Below are 19,767 nucleotides of genomic sequence, written 5' to 3'. Positions count from 1 at the left end.
CAAAGATTTCAGTTTATTGTGTGCTTATTGCCATGTTTCTATATAGCCTATAAGTTTACCTTTAATATCTCTAAAAATTAATTTTCTAAATAATTCTTTGGTTAAATTTTCAAGTGTTCAGAATGGGGTGGGAGAGAAAAGCTGTCCTTCCATAGTTAATTTTTAGTTTTACTGCACTGTAATCAGGGGACGTGGCCTGTGTCTCCTCTTTTTTAGGTGCTCCAGCTTTTCTGTGGCTGATGATCAGTACTTGTAAATACTCCAAGGGTATCTGAAAACAATCTGTGTTCTCTGATGACTAGGTAAAACATTCTGTGTTATCTAGCTAAAACAAGTTTGTGTTATTCAAATCCTTCTTTTTAAAATCTGACTTGAGATTTCTGGGCAATGCTATGAGTTACTCACTAGCCATTCCATAAATTCCCTTTCTGTGTAAACCAGCAACATTTGGTTTATTTTGCTTGCAAGTAAGAAACCTAACCGGTACATCCTTATCTTGAGCTCTTTACCTCTCTCACTTAGCTAGCTTCAGTACTTCTAATACTTTTCTCAGAAGGGATACATGTGATTGTTTTCTTGCAATATCCAAATGAATGATGCCTTGAAATGCAATTTTCTCTCCCTCTCATTTGCAACCTTGTGACATTATGTTCTAATTTTGTGCTGCAGATAAAAAATTAATGGCATTCTGATTCTCTTTCTTTTCTAAGTAACTTGTTGTAGACACCAGCTGGGATAGTTGATCTCTGCCCTATGGTCTCTAGCCTTCTTCTCATGGCAGCAGAAGAGTTCCCAGCAACAATGGAGGGCAAATCCCAAAGCACAAGCATTTTTCTATCCTCTGCTAACTTCACATTTGCTAATGTTCCACAGGCTATAGCAAGTCACACGGCCACAGATTACAAGGGAGATGGGAGGAGCTACCAAGTCACATTGCAAAAGGGTGGACACAAATGGATGGAAAGAATTTATGGTTATTTTTTGTAATATACTATACTGCTTCTCTTTGAAAGCCTGTAAATTCTTTTATATTGATATTCTTTCTTTTTTACTGTTTTAAGACCAACTTATTTTTACACAGTCACTCATTCAGAAGCCAGTGAGACATCAGGGCAGCAGAAAGGAAGCCGGGACAGAGTAGGCCCTGTGAAGGACCAAAGACAAATAGCCACAGTTATGAAATTTTGTTTTATTCTAATAAAGACTAATGTATGCCTGATAGCCTAGTGATAATACATGTTTAGCAGGTCACAACATTTTTAGAAAGCACATATCATTCAAATAAGGGCATTATATGGCTGGAGACTTCAACACCCCACTTTCAGCACTGGAGAGATCTTCCAGACAGAAAATCAACAAACATCAGACTTAATCTGCACTATAGACCAAATGGATCTAACAGATATTTATAGACTATTTCATCTAAGAGCTATAGAATACACATCCTTTTCCTCAGCACATGGATCATTCTCAAGGATAGACCATATGCTAGGTCACAAAACAAGTCTTAAAACATTTAAAAAAAACTTAACAGTATCAAGCATCTCCCCTGACCACAATGGAATAAAACTAGATATTAATAACAAGAGGAATTTTGTAAACTATACAAACACATGGAAATTATACAGTATGCTCCTGAATGACCAGGGGATCACTGAAGACATTAAAAAGGCAACTGAAAAATTTCTTGCAACAAGTAACAAATGACGATAATATCCCTAAACCTATGGGACACAACAAAAGCAGTACTAAGAGGGAATTTATAGTTATAAGTGCCTACATCAAGAGAGGAAAAATCTTAAATTAACAATCTAATGATGTATCTTAAAGAACTAGAAAAGCAAGAGCAAACCAAATCCAAAATTAGTAGGAGAAATAAAGATCAGAGAAAAAATAAAACTGAAATGAAAAAAATACAAAAGATCAATGAAACAAAAAGTTGTTTTTTTGAAAAGTTAAAACAAAATGGACAAACCTTTAGGTAGACTTAGAAAATGAGAGAGAAGATCCAAATAAAATCAGAAATGAAAAAGGAGACACTACAACTGATAGTGCAGAAATTCAAAGGATCAGTAACAGTTACTACGAGCAACTATTAATATATGCCTATAAATTGGAAAATTTAGAATGAGCAAATTTCTAGATACATACAACCTACCAAGATTGAATCAGGAAGTAATACAAATGTGAACATATCAATAACAAGTAATGACCTTGAAGCTATAATAAAAAGTCTCCCAGTAAAAAAAGCCTGGGACCTGATGCCTTCCCTGATGAATTCTACCAAATATTTAAAGAGGAACTAATACCAATCCTACTCAAACTATTCCAAAAAAACAGAAGAGGGGGGAATACTTCCAAACTCATTTGATGAGGCCAGCATTACCCTAATACCAAAACCAGATGAAGACACATTAAACAAAAGAAAACTACAGGCACCAATATCTCTGATGAACATTGATGCAAAAATCCTCAACAAAATATTAGCAAACCAAATTCAACAACACATTAAAAATATAATTCATCATGACCAAGTGGGATTTATCTCTGGAATGCAAATGATGGTTCAACGTACACGAATCAATCAATGTGATACAGCGTATCAACAAAATGAAGATAAAAACCATAAGAAAATTTCAGTCAATGCTGAAAAAGCATTTGAAAAAATTCAACATCCTTTCATAATAAAAAACTAAAAAAAACTGGGGATAGAAGGAACATACCTCAACATAATAAAAGCCATATACAACAGACCCATAGCTAGTATCATATTCAATGGGGAAAAACTGAAAGCCTGTCCTCTAAGATCTGGAACACAACCAGGATGCTCACTTTCACCACTGTTACTCAATATAGTACTGGAAGTCCTAGCTAGAGCAATCAGACAAGAGAATGATATGAGAGGCAGCCAAACCAGAAAGGAAGAAATAAAATTATCCTTGTTTGCAGACAATATGATCTTATATTTGGAGAAACTAAAAGACTCCACAAGAAAACTATTAGAATGGATAAATTCAGTAAAGTTGCAGGATACAGAATCAACATACAAAACTTAGTAGCATTACTATACACCAACAGTGAACAATGTGAAAAAGAAATAAGAGGGCTGGGCATGGTGGTTCATGCCTGTAATCCCAGCACTTTGGGAGGCTGAGGCGGGCGGATCGCCTGAGGTCAGGAGTTTGAGAACAGCCTGGCCAACATGGTGAAAACCAGTTTCTACTAAAAATACAAAAAAATTAGTCAGGTGTGGTGGCATGTATCTGTAGTCCCAGCTACTCGGGAGGCTGAGGTGGGAGAATCGCTTGAACCCAAGAGGTGGAGACTGCAGTGAGCCAAGGTCACACCACTGCATTCCAGCTTGGGTGACAGAGCAAGGCTCTGTCTCAAAAAAATATAAAAATAAAATAAATAAAATAAAATAAGTAGCCCCATTTACAATAGCCACACATACATAAATAACTAGGAATTAACCAGAGAAGTGAAAGATCTCTATAATGAAAACTATAAAACACTGATAAAAGAAATTGAAGAAGACACCAAAAAGTGGGAAAATATTCCATGTTTATGGATTGGAAGAATCAATATTGCTAAAATGTCCATACTTCCCATAGCAATCTACAGATTCAATGTAATCCCTATCAAAATACCAATGACATTCTTCACAGAAGTAGAAAAAACAATCCTAAAATTTATATGGAACCACAAAAGACCCAGAATAGCCAAAGCTACCCTAAGCAAAAAGAATGAAACTGGAGAAATCACATTACCCAACTTCAAATTATACTACAGAGCTATAGTAATCGAAACAGCATGTACTGGCATAAAAACAGACACATAGACCAATGGAACAGAATAGAGGACCCAGAAACAAATCAACACACCTACAGTGAACTCATTTTCAACAAAGGTGCCAAGAATACACACTGAGGAAAAGACAGTCTCTTCAATAAGTGGTGCTGGGAAAACTGGATATCCATATACAGAAGAATGAAATTAGACCCCTATCTCTCATCATATGAAAACTCAAATAAAAATGAATTAAAGACTTAAATCTAAGACCTCAAACTATGAAATAACAAGAAAACACTGGGGAGAAATCTCCAGGACACTGATCTGGGCAAAGATTTCTTGAGCAATACCCCACAAGCAGAGGCAACCAAAACAAAGATGGACAAATGGAGTCACATCAAGTTAAAAAGCTTCTGCACAGTAAAGGATGCAATCAACAAAGTGAAGAGACAACCTATAGAATGGGAGAAAATATCTGCAAACTACTCATCTGACAAAGGATTAATAACCAGAATATATACGGAGCTCTATAAGAAAAAAATCTAATAAAGCCAATGAAAAAATGGGCAAAAGATTTGAATAGATATTTCTCAAAGACATACAAATGGCAAACAGACTTATGAAAAGGTATTCAACATCCTTGATCATCAGAGAAATGCAAATCAAAACTATAATGAGATATCATCTCACCCCAGTTAAAATGGCTCATATCCAAAAGATAGTTAATAACAAATGCTGGCAAGGATGTGGAGAAAAGGGAACCCTCGTACACTGTTGGTGGAAATGTAAATTAGTACAACCACTATGGAGAATAGCTTGGAGGTTTCTCAAAAAACTAAAAATTGAGCTAACATGTGATCCAGCAATCCCACTTCTGGGTATATACCCAAAAGAAAGGAAATCAGTATATCAAAGAGATATCTGCATCCTTATGTTTGCTGCAGCACTGTCTACAATAGCTAAGATTTGGAAGCAACGTAAGTGTCCATCAACAGATGAATGGGTAAAGAAACTGTGGTATATATACACAATGGAGTACTACTCAGCCATAAAAAAGAATGAGATCTAGTCATTTGCAACAGCATGGATGGAACTGGAGATAATTATGTTAAGTGAAATAAGCCAGGCACAGAAAGACAGACATCACATATTCTCGTTTATTTGTGGGATCTAAAAATCAAAACAGTTGAACTCATCTTCTACATCTACTCATCTTTCTACAGAGAGTAGAAAGATGGTTACCAGAGGCCTGGAATGGTAGTCGGGAGATTGAGGGGAGGATTAATGGGTACCAAAAAAAAAAAAAAAAAAAGAATAAATAAGACCTATTATTTGATAACACAACAGGGTGACTATAGTCAATACTTAATTGTACACTTTAAAATAACTTAGAGTGTAATTGGATTGTTTGTTACTCAAAGGATAAATCCTTGAGGGGATGGATACCCCATTCTCCATGATGTGCTTATTTCACATTGCATGCCTGTATCAAAACATTTTATATACCACATAAATATACCAACTATGTACCCACAAAAATAAACATGCAAACACAAAAATAAATAGGCATTAAGGAAAGTTTTATAAAGAATGAAATATCTACTATAATCCTCTTTAAAGCCTTGATTCATTTTCAAAGATCAACAATAATTTTTTTTCAATCAAAAGAAAAGGAAAATAAGTTTTTTTCTACCAAAATACACAAGAACCATTTGTTGGCATTTTTATTTCAAGTTCCTGGGAAAAAAGGGCCAAATTTTCAAAGGCAGTTAATAACAGCTGTACAAGGTCTTGTTTCATTTGATTTAGCATCAAGTAAAAGTAAATATGCCATGGAAGACAGTCGAGTTTTATCTCCACCTCTCATATTGGCCCACTTCTCCTACCACGTCACAGTACATAAGCATGCATCCTTGTTGCCCCACTAAGAAATCTAAAATGATTCGGATTTTTAAATGGTTGCTCAGATGACACTCACCAGCAGAATTCTTTACCCTTAAGATAGGTTGGCAGCGAACACTACCAGGTATCAATGTCATCAGGAATAAATAACTCTTTCAGGAAAGTCACTTTCTTGATCCCTGTTAACCATTATGTAAATTCTTTTTGTTGCTATACCTGTTTACTAATTGTGTTTGTTATGCAAAGGGAATACTCCCCAGACATGCCTGATCTATTATTTCTATTTCGTAACAACAAAGTATGTTCACTTTACATAGTGCCATAGGTTTACTCTTAATCTTTTTTCTTTCTTTCTTTTTCTTGGTACCAGATGTTGTTATTTATCGAGGCAGATCATATGTTTGGATCAAAAAGAGAAACTGGCAAGTAGATCTTAAAACATACATTTCTAAACCTGAGTAACAGATGAAAAAATAAGTCTTTAAATTACATTTTCCATTGAAAATTCATTCAACTGTGGTGCAAGAACTTATCCAAGAACTTACAATGTCAATTTCTGAGGGATATAAATCATATCCCTCAGCACATATGTATTTTCAAAAGAAAACAAGTCATCTTAAAGTAATATATTCCCATATGCTAATTGATAATTGTATAGCAAATTGAAAATTCTGAGTAAACTTAAGGTATGTTTAACAACAAAATAAATATAGCATATATGGCTAGCTTATAAATTTCTTAGTGTAAAGGCAGCAGTGAATTTGCATCTTGCAACAGATCTGTAAATCCAGTTGCTGTTTTTCTGGAATTTTATAGATATGATGTCTCACAAAACCATGTTCCACAGGGCTAGAAATATCTCTATGCAAAAACTTATGAGATATTTTCCCCAAATGACATGTAACTTTTAAAAACTTTTCCAGAAAAAAATGAAAATTTTATCAACCACTTATTCTTACTGAAGAAAAAAGACTACTAATTGCTCTTTTAATTTTGCTCTAACGGATGTTTTAAAAGTTTAGACACCAATGATGTTTTTGAATTGCACACTGCTAGAAGATAACTGGATAAAACACATTAGATGATTTCAAAAGATGAATCAGTACCTGATTCATCTGGCACATCATTAGTATCCAGAATAAAATCTGTAGAAATAATATAATTTTCAAAGAACTTATACATGCATACATTCTTATACATGCCTACATTCTTATTTATACATGCTCCATTCTTAGGAAAAGGAGCCTCTAAATCCAAGGACAAGGAGGTTCTGCTCATCTTACTAGTTATAATCATTTCTCCTCATGGAGTAACTGGGGCTTTCTGATTTTGTGGAACTTTAGTTTGTAGGAAAGCATAAACATGACGTTAAATCTTGTTGGTTTCTGCTCTGGAGAGTGTTTCCAACATCCCTGTTTTTTTCTGGTAAAGTTCTGGGACTGGCTCCATAAGTCTTCAGTCTCTTGATAACTGTGTCTCTGGTCTATTATTCTCAGGCCGAATGAGAGGCTTCCCAGTCAGATCAGCAATACCCACAGTTTGGGGACGGTTGAATTCAATGTAGTCGACTCGGCCACTAGCTAGATGAACAGCAAGCAGTGAAGTGTTGTTTAAATGACCTCCAAGGGCACATACAAGTTAATCATTGTGTCTATCTGATAAGCTCATCTAGGGCTTCTGCCTATGGCAGTGTCCTTGGAAAACCAGCTATATTAGGTGAGATTTTTCAGTTCATGAAGGGCCAGCCGAGTCGTAACATCATTTGGGATGAGTTTCCCTTGGTCAAGAAAAGCCTTGGCTAACATACCAATTTATGTGCCCTGTAGCATGTTGTCCTGGAGCAGTCCCTGCTGGAGAGGTGCCTCAGCTTGAAGTGTTTGGTGATGTACAACAACACAGTGCCCTTGCCTAAGCCCAGGTCTGGGGCCCCCATGATCACTGCATGCAGTAGCTGCGGAGATGCCCCTGCAACCATGGACAGAGGCCCAGGCTGTGCCAACTGTAGGGCTTTCGTCTGACCTGTGCACTCACCTGATCCACAGCCAAGGTCCCAGATGGTAGAAAGCACTTTTATTTTTTTTTGTTCAAGTTAACCAGTGCTTTCCTTTTCCTCTATAAAATGTGCTGGCTTGGAAACAATTCAAACATTCACCCATCAGTAAATGGATAAACACATTTTGGTATATCCATGCAATGGAATATTATTCAGCCATAAGAAGAAATGAAGTACTGATAAATGCTACAATATGGATGAACCCTAAAAACACTGTGCTCAAAGAGGCCAGACACAAAGGGCCACCTTTGGTATGATTCAATTTATATGAAACACTCAGAATAGGCAAATTTATAGGGGCAGAAAGCAGATTCATGGTTGCCAGGCCTGCCAGAGGAAGAATGGGGAGTGACTGCTAGTGGGTGTGGGAGTTTCTTTTGGGACCTGCTAGCTGTAGGGTCACTTTTTTTTTTAATGTGGTAAAATACACATAAAACTTACCGTGACATTTACTACATTTGCAATGTTGTACCACAGTCACCACTATCTAGTTCCAGAATATTTTTATCACCCCAAATGTAAGCTCTCTTTTGATCTTTGAAGGTGAAAAATATCACTAGAATATATCTGAGGGAGGAATATCTTAGTTCATTGATCAGGTTTAATACTCAGTATAACTTAGTCCGAAAGTTAAAGTTCTTTTTTTTTTTTTTTTTTTTTTTTTTTTTAAACCCAAAGAAGTCGTAGTCTTATTTGATTATTGCTTTCTCCATCTGTTCCTTCTGGAACTCCTACCTCACACTGCAGTTCCTGTATCTTCCTTCCCTTTCTTTTATCTTCTCACTAGTGGCTTCCTTTGCATTTTTGTTTCGTATCATGAGGCAACTTCCTGTTTGATCTTCTTCGGTTTGAGTTTTAAGAGTATCGATTCTATTTTTCAATTCAATTGAATGTCAAAAAACTGTAAAACCATATTTTTACACATCGTATTTTTAAGTTTGCTTTTTTTTTTTTTCTTGAGACAGAGTCTCACTCTGTAGTCCAGCCTAGAGTGCAGTGGCGCAATCTCGGCTCACTCACTGCAACCTCCGCCTCCCGGTTCAAGCGATTTTCCCGCTTCAGCCTCTGGAGTAGCTTGGACTGCAGGCGCGCACAACCATGCCCGGTTAATTTGTTCCCTTCTATTTCTCACATTAAATTTGCCTTACAGGAGCCATTCATTTTGGCTGTTTAGCTTGGTTTTCTGTTCCTCAAACTACTGTTTTTTTTTGTTTTTTCCAAGACAGGGTCTCACTGTCTCATGCAGCTGGAGTGCAGTGGCAAGATCTCGGCTCACTGCAACCTCCGCCTCCCGGTTCAAACGATTTTCCCGCCTCGGCCTCCGGAGTAGCTGGGACTACAGGTGTGTGCCACCACGCCTGCACTCGGCTAATTTTTGTATTTTTTTGGTAGAGAGGGGTTTCACCATGTTGGCCAGGCTGGTACTGGGTTTAATTTTTTACATGATCTTTGCCCGATTCCATCAGCTGCCACCGGTTCCTTTAGCATTTGTGGAAGCTCGATTGATGGACTCTTTCTGGGCAGCAGAGAATTGACAGGTGGTGAAAACTAAGCTAGGAATTATCCAATCAGCTGACATTGAGAGCCATGCTCAAGGCTAAACAGAAAGCAAGCAGAAGCAGTTTCCCTAGTTATTGGGCTATGGCACTTGGCTCACCTGGCTGGGCCACTGTCTTTGCCAGAAGCTTAGCCAGGAATCAGGCTACTTTCTAGGTGGCGGGGCTGTCCTTCCTCCCAGCTTTGTGAACAGTAAGGATAGAAGGTATCCAGAGGCAAAACTACTAAATGGTCTCCTCAGAAGCCCAAAGCCTAAGATGTGCTTAGCACAGACTCACTCCAGGTTCCACACTATGCTTTGCACCACCACATCTACTACCTACCTATATTTCAGCCATTCTTCTTTGTAGTTGAATCACCCCAGGAGGAAATTTAGAGTGCTAGGGAGTTATAGAAACATACATAAGCCATCATTTCCAAAAACTTAATTAAGGTAATTCCCCGTTTATAGTATTGTCTGAAGATAATTATTTATATAATGGAAGTAACCTTAAGTCTTAGGAATATAAATCTTATTGATGAGTGAAGCCCCAATTACGGCCCAAAGAGATGGAAGGACTCATGCCAGAGTGTCTCTGCTGTACAGGTAGGATTAGAGATTGGCCTTTTATTTTCTAATATAGGGATCTTTTCAATATGTAGACCCATGGCTACCTTTTAAAAATTCCTTCAGTATATTCACCTGCATAGCTATTTCTCTTCCTGCTCCATCTAGTCCAATCCCTTTTCTGGATATTAGGCTAAGTCTCATTTTTATTCCCTTCACCTGACTTTTACTTCCTCCTGAAATTTATTCTGCTGCTTTCCACCTGCCTTCCAAGATCTCTCTCTCTGTGCTCACAGTGAGGGGGTATGCAGGAAGGAGTACTAAAGTGTCCGGAAGGAGGAAAGCCTACAAAAAGTAGGGACAGAGGAGACTTGCCAAAATTCTGAAGCATCTTCAGGAGCCCTTTGCATCAGTCTTTGCGTTCTTGTCATTTAGCACCCCTCTTCTTTTCTCCTGGGTCAAATATCTTAGCACTGACTGGATTCTTTGACCCCTCTTTATACTTTCCTTCATTCTACTTTTCTTTCCTCCCTGCTTTCCTAGCACTCCTATACCAGCGCTCTTCCCTTTCTTTAAAGCCTCTGAATCACAACAAGCGTAGGAAAATGGAATTAGAGTAGTCCCCCTTATCCATGGTTTTGCTTTCTGTGGTTCAAAAACATTAAATGGAAAATTCCAGAAACAAACAATTCATATGTTTGAAATTGTGTGCTGTTCTGAGTTGTGTGATGAAATCTCACGTCATCCTGCTCCATCCTGCCTGGGACAGAAATCATCCCTTTGACCAGCATATCCATGCTGTATAACCTACCTGCCTGTCACTTAAGAAACCATCCTGGTTATGAAGTGGACTACCCTAGTATTGCAGTGCTCTGTTCAAGTAACCCTTATTTTACTTAATAATGGCCCCAAAATATAAGAGTAGTGATGCTAGCATATTGTTAAAGTTGTTCTATTTTATTATTATTGTTGTTAATCTTTTACTGTCTAATTTAGAAATTAAACTTCATCATAGGCATGTATGTATCATAAAAAACACAGTATATATAGGATTCAGTACTATCTGCAGTTTCAGGCATTCACTGGGGGTCTTGGAACGTATCCTGCAGATAAGGGTGGGCTACTGCACAAACATCTGGACGTTCATTCATGTGCCACTAAGGATCATCACACAGTGAAAAGCATACCACACTCTGGAAGGCTCTGATCAACTTTTTCTGCTTCTCCTATCACAAAATAGAAAATACTTTATTAATAGCTTCAAAATGGCTATAGCAGTCCCTCAGTTAGTATCTTAATTTATAGACTAAGGTTATGTTTTCTAGTATAAAACAGCATTTTGACAATGTGGGGAGGCAGCAAGGTGTAGTAGCTAAGAATTAGATTACTTGAGTTCCAATCCCAGCTCGTTCATACACTAGCTATGTGACCTCTGGCAAGTTACCTAACTATAAGTTGCCTCATCTGTGATAGACCTTAGCATATCATAAGTGCTTAAATAAAAGGAAACATTCATAATCATGTTACTATCACCACATGCAATCCTTATTCATTGTCCTAGATCCGTGAAAAACCATTAAAAATGCCATTTTGTGTTTTAGAAAATGTTGATATAATATTTAATAAGCTTGCTGCTGCCCAGGTTAATATGCATCTCTCTAAGCCCCTCTTAAATTTTATTACTAGAAAACGTTCTAGTGGACAATGTCTTTAAGGTTAAATGCGGATACTTAAAATCAGCCTTTTTAAAAAATTAAATTAGAAATAAAGGATAAAACAAAATAAACACACAACAGGAATCTGATATTTCTTACCAAGACAATTTGAAGCATCAACTTGTTCTTTCAAAAAATCAACACACATTTTCTTCACAGGTTCAATCTGATATTGGTTTGCTGCATCCAGCAAAGACTGAACATTGTTGCTATTCACGGAAATTCTGCAAATAAGTTAGAGGGAATATTAGTTACCCATGATTTTTTATTATTTAAATGTTACTGTGGAATGTATCCTAATAGCCCCTGAAATTAAACACAAAATTAAACTTTCAGTCCTTGAATTAGTATGGCATAGGATACTGAAACTCTTCCATCCTTGCGGTTTTTCATTTTGAAGAATTTGTAGTGCAACTATTTGTTACGACAATGCTTTGCCATGGTAGATACCAACATTACTTCTCTAAAATAAAAATAATACTTAACTCACCTAGCAGTATAAGCAAATTCCACCAGTTGTTCAATAATATCAGGTTCAGCATCTTTGAGTTCTACTTCAAAGGACTTTGATTCAAGCATGTTAGCTACAATGAAGAGAAGAAACATAAATGGCATCTGTACTACCACAAGTTTGACTGAGGAACCACGGCATTCCAGGCCATGTTAAATATGCAGAAAAATAACGGGACAGTTCTCTCTGGAAGAAAATGCCCCAGCAAGCCCAACATTTCTATAGTCAATGCAAATTAATTCTCCACCCAAGATGTGCCTTAAATTAAGCTAAGAAAAGAGTGAATTAGTGTACTTCTTTTTAAGACCATATTAACAGAAACATAAAACTAGATTTTGTTTTTTTCCCAAGCTCATAAAATAGTACTAAGTAGAGGAAGTAGGACTTGGACCCAGTTCTGAACACCAAATCCAGGGTTCTTTCTGGCACAATATGCTACAGCTATTTTTTTTTTAAAGTTTAACTTGCCGGCTAAAATATTATGAAATTTATCTGCTTCTTTGTCTTTCCACCTAAGGTTAAAAAGAAAACCCTGGGCTTTTTTTTTTTTTTTTTTTTTTTTTTTTTTTTGAGACAGAGTCTCGCTCTGACGCCCAGGATGGAGTGCAGTGGTGCAATCTCGGCTCACTGCAACCTCCACCTCAACCCTGGGCTTTTAAGTAGAAGCTGTACCTCCATCAATAAAGGCATCAGGCCTTTAGGTCTAATGAAAGGACATTTTTTCCTTTGGTTATCAGCTGACTACTTTTTCAATCTCTTCACTGTTCTGTGGCCTTAAGTTCTTAACTGCTTTAAAAATTAGAAAAATGACATATTCTCTTTTAGATTTTACTTCATTCTCATAGAAGAAATAATGGCATGTTTTACCTTAAGATACTTACTTGTGAACATTAAGTTAAAAAAATGACTGGCTGCAGCAAGAACAACACGATGAGCAGGTATCTTTCTTTCCTGGACCATGAGGATCACGTCACACAACGTTTTCTAATCAAAGGAAAAATACATAAAATAAAAAGAGGCTCACTAGCCTAGCTTGGCAATACATGTTAAAAAGGTGCTTGCCAAATGCTTTATCTCTATTTTCTATTTAAAGCCAATCTTTTTCCAGCGCAGAATTTCTTTTGAAGACATATTTAGAAAGGACTTACAGAGTCGCTGCCATGTAGTATAAAAATTTTGCACTGAGTTTTCCAACAGTCAAGAGGAAAGAAAAAGTTCCTCATAATCAGAAACAAGTCTACTAACCCTTCAGAGAAGTCTTTTTTTTTTTTTTTTTCTGACACAGATTCTAGGACATTTCTCATGGTAAGCTTTTCTGGGGGAAATTCAATGACATCATGGCAGTGCCCCTGACACCCTGACAGTTTTTCAAACACAGCAATTAGTTTTTATATGATTTATTTTCCATTATTTATCCTTGATGAAATTGAGAACATACACTGCATTTCCTAAGAAAGTAGCATTCACAGATCTAACTTGAAACAGAAACAGCTCAGAATACAGAGAGGAGATGAACTAAATGTCCTTTCAGCAATCTTTTATTAAATAACACTTCTCTCAAATGCACTTCTGATAGAAGCTGGATAGCAGCCAGTTTTAAATTCTGATTTCTGACCAACGTCAAAATAGTATCACCATAAGCTGCTTAAAGAAGGCAGCTCTGAGTAATACTTAATTAAAATGTGGGGAAAACGGAATAATAAAGAAAAAATTTAAGGCTTACTAGAACACTTATAAATGAATATCAAGAAAAATAAATGTCCTTTTTGCCAAATAAAATCTTAATTTCTTAACGAAGTTAAAGACAAAATATAGAGATTAGGCTTACAGAAAACTTGGTGTATACAATGTATTAAAGACTGTCCTAGGCACTGGGAATATGAGGCAAATAATATATTCAGAGTAAAAAAAATATCGCTTACAAATCTAAGATTGGCTTCATGGCTCAGAGGATTTGCATTTTGCAAATTTTAAGTATTTTACTAAAACTGTTAATATAGTTTCTGATAGATAAATCTGTTATTGTATTATTTTGTGAAGATAAAATAAAATAATAATGTTTAGAATGAGAGAGAAAATAAGCCTCAAATAGCAGGCTAGGAAATGAACAAAATTTCACTTTTACAGCTTATTTGAAGATTTTCAAATAAGGCCTAGTATTGACTATTGCTTAAAACTTATATGCAGGTTTATAACTAAAGCTATTTTTATTCTCATAGTGTCTTGAATTTTTAAATTTTATTTCATTTGGGGAGGGGGTACAGAGGCAGATCTCTCAGGTGTTTTTGCTACATACTATACCAAAAAATACCAAGTAGCATAACCAAGTTAACTATTTGGTTACCACCAAAAAACAAGTGATCAAGTTGCCTTGGAGGTCAAAGGAGGGAGAGAAGGAGAGGGAGAAAGGGGTGGGGAGTGAAGAATAAAGATGATAAAGCATCAAGCAAATCAGATTATATCAGATCATGGGGAGAAATCTATGGCCAGTGATGGAACTTCTATGAAACATAGGGTTAAACCAAAATACAGCAAAAACATCTCCAAGGCATACTCAACAACAGAGTTTATAAGTAGAATGACTTTATAGGCACTGAAGGAGGTTGAAGAAATGTAGATCTTTGTACAGCAACTGAGTTTTAGTCTAAGATTAATGTCCAGCTGGATATTAATGGTTGGAGGGGTGGGGAAAATAAGTAGGAAGAGTCTTTTGTATCCAAATGGTACATTTATTTGCCTATACTACAATAGACTGATAATTTCCAATAAGAGATGGGACTGCCGGGTGCAGCGACTCATGCCTGTAATCCCAGCACCTTGGGAGGCTGAGGCGGGCGGATCACAAGGTCAGCAGATTGAGACCATCCTGGCTAACACAGTGAAATCCCGCCTCTACTAAAAATACAAAAAATTAGCCAGGTGTGGTGGTGGGCACCTGTAGTCCCAGCTACTTGGGAGACTGAGGCAGGAGAACGGCATGAACCCAGGAGGCGGAGCTTGCAGTGAGCTGAGATCGAGCCACTGCACTCCAGCCTGGGCAACAGAGCGAGACTCTATCTCAACTAAAAAAAAAAAAAAAAGGATGGGACTGACCTATAGTGAAAGGCCCCTCCTGTTATTAATAAGCTAAAGAAAGGTATATCCACAGACAAGAAATGGGGGCTCGGTGTGGTCGCTCACACCTCCAATCCTAGCATTTTTGGGAGGCCAAGGCAGGTGGATTGCTTGAGCCTAGGAATTCGAGACCAGCCGGGGCAACATGATGAAACTCTGTCTCTACAAAAAAAAAATACAAAAATTAGCCAGGCGTGGTGGTGTGTGTCTGTAGTCCCAGTGACTGGAGGTGGGGGTGGTGCTGAGGTAAGAGGATCACTTGAGCCCCAGAGGTGGAGGTTGCAGTGAGTTGTGATTGCATCACTGTACTCCAGTGATATCATTATAACAAAGAGACATCTGCACCCCCATGTTTACTGCAGCACTATGCACAACAGCCAAGATATAGAGTCAACCTAGGTGTCCAGTGATAGACGAATTGATAAAGAAAATATGGTATATATACACCATGGAATAATATTCAGCCATAGCAAAGAATGAAATCTTGTCTTTCACGGCAATGTGGATGGAACTGGAAGACATTATGTTAGTTGAAATAAGCTAGGAACAGAAAGTTAAATGCTACATGTTCTCACTCATATGTGTAAGCTAAAAAGGTTGATCTTATCCAAGTAAAAAGCAGAACAGAAGATACTAGAGGCTGGAAAGGGTAGAGGGAAGGGGAGGCGGAAGGAGGGATAGAGAGAGGTTTGTTAAAGGACATAAAATTACAGCCAGATGGGAGGAAAAAGTTCTAATATTCTATATCACTGTAGGATGACTATAGTTAACAGTAATAGATTCAGGCTGGGAGCAGTGGGTTACATCTGTAATCCCAGCACTTTGGTAGGCTAAGGCAGAATTGCTTGAAACCAGGAGTTCACGGCCAGCCTAGGCAACATAGTGAGACCCTGACTCTACTAAAAATAAAAAATTAACCAGGTGTGATGGCACATGCCTGTAGTCCCAGCTACTTGGGAGGTTGAAATGGGAGGATCACTTGAGCCCAGGAGTTTGAGGTTGCACTGAGCTGTGATCATGCCACTGCACTCCAGTCTGGGTGACAGAGCAAGCCTGTCTCTAATAAAATAATAATAATAAATATTAGATTCTAGAAAGAAGATATTGAATGTTCCCAACAAAGAGAAATAAGCGTTTGAGAGAATGGATATGCTAATTAGCCTGATTTGTTCACTAGACATTATATGCATTGAAACATCACTACATTCCGTATAAGTACAACTATTATTTGTCAATTAAAACAAAAAAAAATTTTTAAGAAATCAACAGCAGACATCACATGTAATAGTGAAACATCAGACATGTTCTCATTTCAGTCTTGAAACAAGGTATATGGGGCTGGGTGTGGTGACTCATGCCTGTAATCCCAAACACTTTGGAAGGCCGAGGTGGGCAGATGGCTTGATCTCAGGAGTTCAAGGTCAGCATGGGCAACATGGTAAAACCCATCTCTACCAAAAATACAAAAACATAGCCAGGTGTGGTGGCACGCATTTGTGGTCCCAGCTACTTGGGAGGCTGAGGTGGGAGGATCGCTTGAGCCCGGGGGCAAAAGGTTGCAGTGAGCCGAGATTGTGCCACGGCACTCCAGCCTGGGTGAGAGTGAGACTCAAAAATAAAATAAAATAAATAAAATAATAATAAAATAAAACAAACCAGGTATACAAATCCTTGTCATTACTGTTATTCAACCTTGCTCTGGAAATCTTAGCCAAATTAGTAAGACGATAAAGATAAATCAAGTTACACTTATAGAAATAACAAGAAAAGTCAGTAAAATGGCCAGACACAAATAAGATAAATATGGAAACACAATTAGCTATCTTGTATGAGAAATAAGCCATAAAGAAACACAAATGAAAAAAAAATCCCAAGTCATAGAAGCAACAAAATAATTAAATATTGAGAAACAAAAAAAATGTGAGGGATCTTCATTAAGTGGCAATTTGATATATGACAAAGATACCATTTCAAAAATGTAGTGAGAAGGTGGAGAACAGGACATGTTTAGGGCAGTGAAACTAGTCTGTAGGATATTGTAATGGTGTATACATGTCATTATACATTTGTCAAAACCTGTAACATGTGCAACACAGAGTCAACCCTAATGTAAACTATGAATGTTAATAATATGTGACAATATTGGGGGCTGGGCACAGTGGCTTACCCCTGTAATCCCAGCACTTTGGGAGGCTGAGATGGGTGGATCACTTGAGGAGTTTGAGACCAGCCTGGCCAACATGGCGAAACCCTGTCTCTAGTAAAAATACAAAAATTAGCTGGACGTGGTGGCGCACGCCTGTAATCCCAGCTACTCAGGAGGCTGAGGCATGAGAATCGCTTGAACCCAGGAGACAGAGGCTGCAGTGAGCAGAGATCGTGCCACTACATTCCAGCCTAGACAACAGAGCGAGATTCTGTCTCAAAAAAAAAGGAACAATATTGACTCATCAATTGTAACAAACATACCACACTAATGCAATATGTTAATGATAGGGGTAACTGTGTGTAGAGAAGGAGGTGAGGGAATAAATTTAAATACTATACTTTCTGCTCAATTTTTCTTTTTCTTTTTTGAGACAAGGTTTTGCTCTATCATCCAGGCTGGAGTGCAGTGGTGCAATCTCGGCTTACTGCAGCCTCGAACTCCTGGGCTCAAGTGATCCTCCCACCCCTCGTCCCAAGTAGCTGGGACCACAGGCGTGTACCACCATGCCTGGCTAATTTTTTTTTCTTTTGTAGAGACGAGGTCTCACTGTGTTGCCCAGGCTGGTCTCCAACTCCTGCATTAAAGCAATCTTACTACCTTGGCCTCTCAAAGTATAGGGATTACAGGCACGAGCTACCACACCTGGCTCAAATTTTCTATGAAATTAAAACTGCTCTTAAAAAAAAAGTCTAGGAAATAATGTGATAAGAGATCAGATAATCAAAAATGATACTGAGATAACTTAATCATTTAAGGAACCATGAGATTCCTCACTCATAATGTATTCCCTCTTCCCCTGGGAAGGTAAGTACTGAGAAGGAAGCTTCAGTCTCCATCCATCACATGTGGAAGAGTGAATACAGGATGAACAAGAGTGTGGCAGAGGACACCGACAACAGATAGCCAGGCATTCTGGCTCATTCTTCTTTCCTAGGTCTGCCCCAAAAGTGGGACATCAATCATTGGGGCAGGGTTGCTCCTCTGGCAGGAGAGGACTGTTCCTGCTCATCAGCTGCTCTGCCTCAGACTGGGTGGGTAAGTTTAGTTTAGGGAAGAAAGAATAGAAAGCCCAATTTAATGCTCAGGTCAATGTCCTATAGTTAGAACTAGTAGTGACGGGTCCTCAAATATGTATGCACAGATACTCAACGCGTCATAAAGAAAGAAACTTTGGTGCTGCTTTAGTGCCTGAAAGATTTGGGGGCTTTTACAGGAAGAATCCTTTGGTTCTAGTAAAGGCTCACCTCAGAAGCAGCAGACATTTTAGGCATCTGTTGGTATCATGACCTTTTGCTCTCTATCAAGTTTACTCGACAGGATTACAAAAGGCAGTTGGGTCCATGTAAGTGCTAAAGCACTGTATGAGGATTAGCTTTTAATCACATGTGCTGTCATTAGTAAGAGGCATGCAGTCAACTGCCCCACGTTCTATTCTTTGTTATATCCCAAAGAGAAGACTGAGGAATGACTAACCTTTAGATTTATGTGGCTTGTCAAGAAGGTTCTGCAATCAGTCCCTCCCAGCATGATATCAAATTGGCATTGAGTATAAATCCCTGAGCAGATTGTAGATTCAACTACAGCTGGGTGGTAGATTTAAATCACTGAAAACATAAAGGGAAATGAGGCCCTTATTAGATGGGGTAAATAATTTTCTTGGATTAGTTACTAGAAAAGCTTCAATAAAGCAATAATAAATGCAAAGGCTAAGAAACATTAAAAAGACTTCTCTAGAAATCACATTTGTCAGAAAAGCAGAGAAAAACAGGATTGAACTTAAACACATACACAATTAGAATAAGGCAAGTGGGATAGTGAAGGAAAAACAAAGGAAGATACCTAGACTAAGCAGAAGGAAAAGAGGGACTGCCTTCCTTAAGGGAAACATATGCCAGGTCAGGCCAAACAGCTTTGCAAAGGAAAGGAGACTTGGGCATAATTGCCCTTTAAGAGCTGGGACTAAGAAAAAAAAGCTATTTTTGTTATTTATTCAAGGAAGGTGTTATGGACCAAACAGGAATAGAAGAAGAGAAGTAAGAATTCAGGAGTAGGTTAAAACAGTTCTCTCAGAAAGGCCTGGATCAGCACTTTGGGAGCCAAGGCATGTGGATCACCTGGGGTCAGGAGTTCAAGACCAGCCTGGCCAACATGGCGAAACCCTAACTCTACTAAAAATACAAAAATTAGCCAGGCGTGGTGGTGCGCGTCTGTAATAGCAGCTACTCGGGAGGCTGAGGCAGGAGAATCACTTGAACCCGGGAGGCAGAGGTTGCAGTGAGCTGAGATCATGCCACTGCACTCCAGCCTGGGTGACAGAGCGAGACTTGATCTCAAAAAAAAAAAAAAAAAAAAAAAAGGCCTGGCTCT

The 19,767-nt window shown here is 38.0% G+C and overlaps 1 protein-coding gene and 1 pseudogene across 8 annotated transcripts in view; both read right to left on the bottom strand.

The window, feature by feature from the left end:
- The window catches only part of KLHL7 (kelch like family member 7), a 72,130-nt gene that overhangs the window by 41,077 nt on the left and 11,286 nt on the right, over window positions 1-19,767 (bottom strand). For 3 of the 8 annotated variants that reach the window (NM_001031710.3, XM_017012440.3, NM_018846.5), the window contains exons 2-4: window positions 12,959-13,061; window positions 12,057-12,150; window positions 11,666-11,790 (exon numbers count right to left, since the gene is read on the bottom strand). In NM_001031710.3, coding sequence (NP_001026880.2) covers window positions 11,666-11,790; window positions 12,057-12,150; window positions 12,959-13,061 — 322 coding nt within the window. Of the gene's footprint in view, window positions 1-10,787; window positions 11,078-11,665; window positions 11,791-12,056; window positions 12,151-12,958; window positions 13,062-18,873; window positions 19,005-19,767 lie in introns of those variants that run through there. The other 5 variants (NR_033328.2, XM_047420615.1, NR_033329.2 and 2 more) reach the window with 4 other exon arrangements.
- On the bottom strand, window positions 6,922-7,738 carry AK3P3 (AK3 pseudogene 3; annotated as a pseudogene).

The sequence above is a fragment of the Homo sapiens genome, chromosome 7 (genome assembly GCF_000001405.40).
Source record: "Homo sapiens chromosome 7, GRCh38.p14 Primary Assembly".
NCBI classification, from domain to species: domain Eukaryota; kingdom Metazoa; phylum Chordata; class Mammalia; order Primates; family Hominidae; genus Homo; species Homo sapiens.
The sequence above is the reverse complement of the archived record's forward strand: the minus strand, read 5'-3'. Positions and strand labels throughout refer to the sequence as shown.